Source organism: Homo sapiens, chromosome 1, assembly GCF_000001405.40.
Source record: "Homo sapiens chromosome 1, GRCh38.p14 Primary Assembly".
Lineage (NCBI taxonomy): Eukaryota > Metazoa > Chordata > Mammalia > Primates > Hominidae > Homo > Homo sapiens.
In genome coordinates this window covers 52522537-52530993 of record NC_000001.11, presented here as the reverse complement: position 1 = coordinate 52530993, position 8457 = coordinate 52522537, and the positions used below count along the sequence as shown (strand labels likewise).

At 40.0% G+C, this 8457-nt stretch overlaps 1 protein-coding gene across 50 annotated transcripts in view; it reads left to right on the top strand.

The window, feature by feature from the left end:
- TUT4 (terminal uridylyl transferase 4) overlaps positions 1–8457 on the top strand; it is a 130189-nt gene that overhangs the window by 22470 nt on the left and 99262 nt on the right. For all 50 annotated transcript variants that reach the window (XM_017000804.3, XM_047416324.1, XM_047416327.1 and 47 more), the window contains one exon: positions 4621–5431. In XM_017000804.3, the coding sequence (XP_016856293.1) occupies positions 4714–5431 (718 nt within the window). In that variant the 5' untranslated portion in view covers positions 4621–4713. The remainder of the gene's footprint in view (positions 1–4620; positions 5432–8457) is intronic.

Genomic DNA, 8457 nt, shown 5'->3' with positions numbered 1-8457 from the left:
CTGGCTCTTATCACCTAGCCTGGAGTGCAGTGGTGCTATCTCAGGTCACTGCAACCTCTCCCTCCTGGGCTCAAGCCATCCTCCTACCTCAGCCTCCCAAGTAGCTGAAACTACAGGCGCATACCACCACACCTGGCTAATTTATGTATTTTCTGTAGAGACAGGGTTTTACCATGTTGCCCAGGCTGGCCTCGAACTTGCGAGCTCAAGCAATCAGCCTACCTCAGCCTCCTATGCAGCTGAGATTACAGGTGTGAGTCACTGTTCCCAGCTGAGCCTTATCTTCAAAATACTCTCTCCTCCGAGAGAACTTCGTTTCTAGGAATTACATCTTTTTGGGGAAAATTTTGTACTCTTGATAGCTTCAAAGAAAAAATTGAAAATAGCAATTTTGTGATAAAATTTTTGAGGCAATAAGACATTGGCTACTCTTACAAGAAAAGATGTGGGGGTGATTATCGTTAATTATAACTTAATTGTACTTTTACAAATAAAGAGTGTAATTGGATTGTTTGTAACTCAAAGGATAAATGCTTGAGGGGATGGATACCCCATTCTCTATGATGCGCTTGTTTTACATTGCATGCCTGTACTGGAACATCTCTTGTACCCCATAAATATATACACCTACTGTGTACCCTTAAAAAGTAAAAAATAAAGGTGAGGAAGATGAGAAAATACAGTCTTTTTCATAACACATATTCCTATTAGCAATTTTTTTTTTTTTTTTTTTTTGAGATGGAGTCTCACTCTGTCACCCAGGCTGGAGTGCAATGGCGTGGTCTCGGCTCACTGCAACCTCCTATTAGTAATTTAAATGTATTTTTAGTTATATGAAAAATTACTCAAAGTAGCTGACGCAGTGACTCATGCCTGTAGTCCTAGCAGTTTGGGAAGCCGAGGCAGGAGGATTGCTTAAGCTCAGGGCTTCGAAACCAGCCTGGGTGAGATAGCGAAATCCTGTCTCTACAAAAAATACAAGAATTGGCTTGGCATGGTGGCACACACCTGTAGTCCCAGCTAGTTGGGTGGCTGAGATGGGAGGATTGCTTGAGCCTAGGGAGGTCAAGGCTGCAGTGAACCGTAATTGTGCCACTTTACCCCCCAACCTGAACGACAGAGCAAGACCATGTCTCAAGAAAGAAGAAGAAGAAAAAGATTACTCAAAATGAAAACCTGTCAATTTTCTGAGCCTGGGACTCTCCGGGTACATTGATCTATATTAGGTACATTGATTTTTTTCTTTTTTTAATCTTTGTAGCTTTTGTTTATGTATACAAACTTGATTTATGGAGTATTTTTTAAGTGGATGAATAAATTGTCTAAAATGTTTTACAAGCAAAATTGTGAATCAGCATTGTTATTTCAAATCTTTGTTGTTTTATGGCTTTTGTCAGATGACATCTACAAAATTATTAAAGAATCGTTATAGCAGACTAGCATTAAAAATTTAAAGATATTTTGGTTACTAGACAAGGTAAAACTAATCTTTTAGAAATATAACTCATTTTAATTTTTGAAACAGAGCTCATTTTAGTTGTTAAAGTGAGGAACCTGCAGCAGTTCTCACAAGAATTTAGAAATAGTCATATGTTTTGACAACTTTTCTGACAGTTATGTAAAACACCTTATCAAGAATAATAAAAGCAAAATGTATTAATTAAACAAATTCATATGTATAAAAATTAGGAGCAAAAGCATTCTTTTGCAGTTGTAAGTTTCTATAGCTTTTACTGGAAAATGTTAGTCAAAATATTAATGGTGAAAATGTAGTGTGGTTTAAAATTTTTTTTAATTAAAAAATTTTTAAATATACTTTGCTAGACTCCAACTGACACCATATCTAGTGTGGTTTTGACTTTAGTTTTCATTATAATAATTTAGAAAGAAGAACCTAATACATTTTTAAAGTAAAAGACAGTATTACTCTGGAAAAGCAAGGCAGAGAATGTAGAGGACTGCACTATAAAGAAGAATTATTGGCCAAGTGTGGTGGCTCATTCCTGTAATCCCAGTGCTTTGGGAGACTGAGATGGGAGGGTCACTTGAGGCCATGAGTTTGAGACAAGCCTGAGCAACATAGTGAGACTTTGTCTCTACAACAAAAAAAAATTAGCCAGGTGTGGTGGTGTGCGCCTGTGTTCTTAGTTGCTTGGGAGGCTGAGGCAGGAGGATCATTTGAGCCCAGGAGTTCCAGGCTGCAGTGAGTGATTATTAAAGAGTGAACTCTTTATTTTAGGTAGGATTTTTTTGTTTATATGATGTAAAGTTATATGATAGAGATGTTTACCTAAATTTGTAATTTAGTAAATCAACCAAGTAAAATCAAAGATGGTACATTTTAATTCTATGCAGTTTGCTTTTGCTGGCAGAAGGACTCTAATTTTTATTCATATTATTAATGTTTGTTTAGAAACGGATCTGAATTTAAGGTGTATAGGGCAAAGTGAATAGTAAAAAACATCCTGATTTTTTAATAAAATCACTTTTTTTTTTTTTTTTTGAGACAGGGTCTCACTCTGTTGCCCAGACTGGAATGCAGGAATGCAATCTTGGCTCACCGCAACCTCTGCCTCCTGGTCTCAAGCGATCCTCCCACCTCAGCCTCCTAAGTAGCTGGGACTACAGGCGCATGCCACAGTGGCCGGCTAATTTTTGTTTTCTTTGTAAAGATGGGGTTTCACCATGTTGTCCAGGCTGGTCTTGAACTCCTGGACTCAATCCGCCAGCCTCGGCCTCCCAAAATGTTGGGATTACAGGTGTGAGCCATGTGCCTGGCCTTGACATTATTATTATTATTATTATTATTTTTTTCGAGATGGAGTCTTGCTCTGTCACCCAGGCTGGAGTGCTGTGGCGCGATCTCAGTTCACTGCAACTTCCGCTTCCCGGGTTCAAGCAATTCTCCCGCCTCAGCCTCTTAAATAGGTAGGATTTTACAGGCGCCCACCACTGTACCCGGCTAATTTTTGTATTTTTAGTAGAGACGGGGTTTCACCATGTTGGCCAGGCTGGTCTCGAACTCCTGACCTTGTGATCTGCCCACCTCGGCCTCCCAAAGTGCTGGGATTACAGGCGTGAGGCACCATGCCTGGCTGACATTATTTTTTAGAACACTTTTAGGTTCACAGCAAAATTGAGCAGAAAGTGCAAAGTTGCCATATATACCCTGCATCCACACATGCATAGCCTCCCCCACTTTCAACATCTGGCACCAGAGTAGCATGTTTATTACAGTGGATGAACCTACATTGGCCCGCATTGATACCTTATCACCCAGTGTCTATAGTTTACTTTAGGGTTCATTCTTGGTAATGTGCATTTTGTATCATTATACAAATGTGTAATGACAGATATTCACTATTATAGTGTCATAGAGATTATTACTATTACTTTTGTTTTTTTTTAAACTCTTAAGTTCCTTTTTGTTGTTGTTGTTTTTGAGACAGAGTCTTACTCTGTGGCCCAGGCTGGAGTGCAGTGGTGCGATCTTGGCTCACTGCAACCTCCGCCTCCTGGGTCCCGGTTCAAGCAATTCTCCTGCCTCAGCCTCCCGAGTAGCTGGGATTACAGGCATGTGCCACCACGCCCAGCTGATATTTGTGTTTTTAGTAGAGACAGGGTTTCACTATGTTGGTCAGGCTGGTCTTGAACTCCTGACCTCGTGATCCGCCCGCCTTGGCCTCCCAAAGTGTTGGGATTACAGGCATGAGCCATTGCACCCGGCCCCTGTTGGTTTTTAAAGTATACTTCAGCGAATTCATTTGAACCCGTTTTTACTTCAAGGTGGAGAAAGTCTATTGTTTTCCCATATTTAGAGAGTCAAGTTTGAGGTAAGTTCGAGGTAGGCTAGAGGTACAAATAGATGCTAGTTGGTGGTAAAGTCTTGTGGGCAAGATTTTACCATTTAGGATTCCATAAACGGATTCATTTATAGCACATAAAGATTGGGATTCTCCATCTTTGAGATGGAGTTTCGTTCCTTCTTGTTGCCCAGGCTGGAGTACAATGGCATGATCTTGGCTCACTGCAACCTCTGCCTCCCGGGTTCAAGTGATTTTCCTGTCTCAGCCCCTGAGTAACTGGGATTACAGGCGCACGCCACCATGCCTGGCTAATTTTTGTATTTTTAGTAGAGGTGGGATTTTATCATATTGGTCAGGCTGGTCTCGAACTCCTGACCTCAGGTGATCCACCCACCTTGACCTCCCAAAGTGCTGGGATTACAGGCATGAGCCACCACACCCAGCCAAGATTGGAATTCTTGTGTTTTCTTTATTCTGTTTCCTTTCATGTTAATTGTGATACATTCAATTGCAAGTTTTAGTTTTCTATTGAAATTCTTAAAGAAATATGAGACAACCTTTACTTCTAAAATTCTTTATTTTGGTGCTGTTTTACCACAATTACATTAGAATTCCCTTGATGAGCATTTGGCTATTTACCTAGTGCACTGTAACTCCTTCTCATATAGTTTTCTGAGTTTTGTCTTTTTTTTTTTTTTTAACAATTTCTTCAGTTTTTAGAACAAGTTTAAAAAATTGTTTTTTAATGTCTAACCATAAAAAATTGTTTTTGCATTTTAAATAACAGATTTTTCTCTTTTTTTTAACCCAATAGTTTGCTTGCCTAAACTGGACTTGAAGCAATTTAAACTACTGGAGATCTGCCATTTTATAATATCACAATTGGAAAGAAACAGATTTTCAAATAATGGAAGAGTCTAAAACCTTAAAAAGTGAAAATCATGAACCAAAGAAGAATGTTATTTGTGAAGAAAGCAAAGCAGTTCAAGTTATAGGTAATCAAACATTGAAAGCTAGAAATGATAAATCCGTAAAAGAAATTGAGAACAGCTCTCCAAATAGGAATAGTAGTAAAAAAAATAAGCAAAATGATATTTGTATAGAAAAAACAGAAGTTAAATCATGTAAAGTAAATGCTGCCAACCTTCCAGGTCCTAAAGATTTGGGGTTAGTCCTTCGAGATCAAAGTCATTGCAAAGCAAAAAAATTTCCTAATTCACCGGTGAAAGCCGAAAAGGCAACCATTTCACAGGCAAAATCAGAAAAGGCAACCAGTTTACAGGCAAAAGCAGAAAAATCACCAAAGTCACCTAATTCAGTGAAAGCAGAAAAAGCATCCAGTTATCAGATGAAGTCAGAAAAAGTACCAAGTTCACCAGCAGAAGCAGAAAAGGGACCCAGTTTACTGTTGAAAGACATGAGACAGAAGACAGAATTACAACAGATTGGAAAAAAAATTCCAAGCTCCTTTACTTCTGTGGACAAAGTGAATATTGAAGCTGTAGGGGGAGAAAAATGTGCTCTGCAAAACTCACCACGATCTCAGAAGCAACAGACATGTACAGATAATACTGGTGATTCTGATGATAGTGCTTCAGGAATTGAAGACGTATCGGACGATTTAAGTAAGTCATTTTTTGGAGGGATTTTTGTATATTAATGTTCTTTAGATTATCCCCGGTTTAACCATTTTAATTACAAAAAGTCATGTTTATACATAATTGTTTAGCACTTTTGTTCCCGTATGAAAACATCCACATTAATAATACTTGCATTAATGGTTTCTTACTAGATTGATCCTTGGTGAAGCTAAAAAAAAAAAGCCTTTTCATTTATTATGGTAGGTACAAAGACTGTGCAAATAAAAATTTAGTATCTTCTTTAGTTGGTACACACATGCTCGTACACATACACACTCTTGTTTAAATGGTCTTGATAAGGTATTGCTCATTCATTCACCAAATATGTATGTATTGAGTTCTTCTTATATATATATCAAGCATTTGTTTACAATGGAAAACCAAAACAAACAAACAAAAAAACCCATAGCCCTAAACTTCAAGGAAGCTTCCAGTCTGATAGGAGGGTGGTACAGATAAACAATGATTTTCAGTGCCAAAAACTTAATTGAAGTTGAGAGAGCACATGATTAAATAGTGAGATTTAGACTTTGGGCAGACAAAATAGGTGATATAAATTGTGAGACTGAGTATTACTGAGACTTAGTACGGCTGGAGCAGAAAGTTGAGGTTGAGAACGGCAAAAGATGCAGCTGAAAGGGAACACAGGAATATCAGGGCCTTCTAAGCCATGCCAGAAAGTTTGGACTTTATCCTGAGTATTTTCAGAAGCCATTGAAGAATTTTTTTTTGTTTTTTGTTTTCTGAGACAGAGTCTTACTGTGTTGCCCAGGCTGGAGTGCAGTGGTGCGATCTCCACTCACTGCAACCTCCGCCTCCCAGGTTCAAGCAATTCTGTCTCAGCCTCCTGAGTAGCTGGGACTATAGGCACGTGCCACCATACCTGGCTAACTTTTTTATTTTTAGTAGAGACGGGATTTCACCATATTGGCCAGGCTGTTCTTGAACTCCTGACCTTTTGATCTGCCTGCCTTGGCCTCCCAAAATGCTGGGATTACAGGCATGGAAGAGTTTTTTTTTTTTTGAGATGGAGTCTCGCTCTGTCACCCACGCTGGAGTGCAGTGGCGCAATCTTGGCTCACTGCGAGCTCCCCCTCCCGGGTTCACGCCATTCTCCTGCCTCAGCCTCTCCGAGTAGCTGGGAGTACAGGCGCCTGCCACCAAGCCTGGCTAATTTTCTGTATTTTTAGTAGAGACGGGGTTTCACCGTGGTCTCAATCTCCTGACCTCGTGATCCGCCTGCCTCGGCCTCCCAAAGTGCTGGGATTGCAAGCGTGAGCCACTGTGCCCGGCCTTTGGAAGAGTTTTAAGTAAAGTAATGCTGTGATCAGATTTTTAAAAAAATCCTTTTGAGTATAATGCAGGAAATTCTTTGATAGGAACAGGACTGGAAGCAGGGATTGGTTAGGACACTTAGAGTTTACTTTGAGAACTGTTGTAAAATTCATTTTGTTGTGGGATCCTGATTTTAGTTTTAATTGTTTAGAAATATTGTCTATGTCTTTTGAGTAACTTTAATCCTGATTTTGTTTAAATTAAATAATTTCTTTTATAATCTTTTTTTCCTAGTGTTTTCATGGCTGGAAAAATACAGCGTTATCTTGATGTAGAAATAAAAAGAACCTATTTCTGAATCATTATTTGCCACACTTTGAGAAACACTGGTAAAGAATTCTGAAATAGCTTGTTTTTATTTCTTGTGGTACACAGATGATGGTATATCGACAGACTTAAAAGAATTTTAATAGAGTTGACTTTATGTGTCTCAGTCTCAATTGTATATTAAGGCTGAGGGCAAGGCCAAATTTAAAAACTAAGTCAGTTTAGAGACAGAATCAAATAAGTGATAATACTGGTAATGTTTAGATATGGGAAAAATGTAAACATCATGGTACTTGAATGATTCAGGAAATAGTGGTGGTTTTTTTTTTTGTTTTGGTTTGGTTTTGTTTTTGAGACAGGGTTTTGCTCTGTCACCCCGGCTGGAGTGCAGTGGTGTGAACTTGGCTCCACTGCAACTTCTGCCTCCCACGTTCAAGCAATTCTCCTGCATCAGCTGGGACTACAGGTGTGCGCCACCATGCCTGGCTAATTCTATATTTTTAGTAGAGACTGGGTTTCACTGTGTTGGCTAAGCTGGTCTTGAACTCTTGGCCTCAAGTGATACCCCCACCTTGACCTCCCAAAGTGCTGGGATTACAGGCATGAGCCACTACACCGGGCCAGTAAATAGTGGTGTTTAAGGTCACTTAATTGGCCAGGCGCGGTGGCTCATGCCTGTAATCCCAGCACTTTGGGACGCCGAGGTGCATGGATCACCTGAGGTCAGGAGGTCGAGACCAGCCTGGCCAACATGGTGAAATCCCATCTCTACTAAAAATAGAAAAATCAGCCGGGTGTGGTGGCACATGCCTGTAATCTAAGCTACTCGGGAGGCTGAGGCAGGAGAATTGCCTGAACCAAGGAGATGGAGGTTGCAGTGAGCCAGGATCGCGCCACTGCACTCCAGCCTGGATGACAGAGCGAGAGTCTGTCTCAAAAAAAAAAAAAAAAAAAAAAAGATAGTTAAGGGTCTTGTTATTTGAATTGGTGAAAAACATGATTTAAAGATTATTTATTTTTTGAGACAGAGCTTCACTCTGTTGTCCAGGGTGGAGTGCAGTGGTGTGATCTAGGCTCACTGCAACCTCTGCCTCTGAGTTCAAGCGATTCTCCTACCTCAGCCTCCCAAGTAGCTGGGACTGTAGGCGCCTGCCACCACGCCCAGCTAATTTTTGTATTTTTACTGGAGATGGGGTTTCGCCATGTTGGCCAGGCTGATCTCAGACTCCTGACCTCAGGTGATCCGCCTGCCTCAGCCTCCCAAAGTGCTGGGATTACAGGCATGAGCCACTGCCCTGGCCAAAGATTATTTTCTTTTAAAGTCAACAAAATAATTGAGATGACATAGAGAGATAGTTAAGAATATGGGCTCTGGAGTGAAATTGCATGGGTTTTGAATTCCAGCTTCT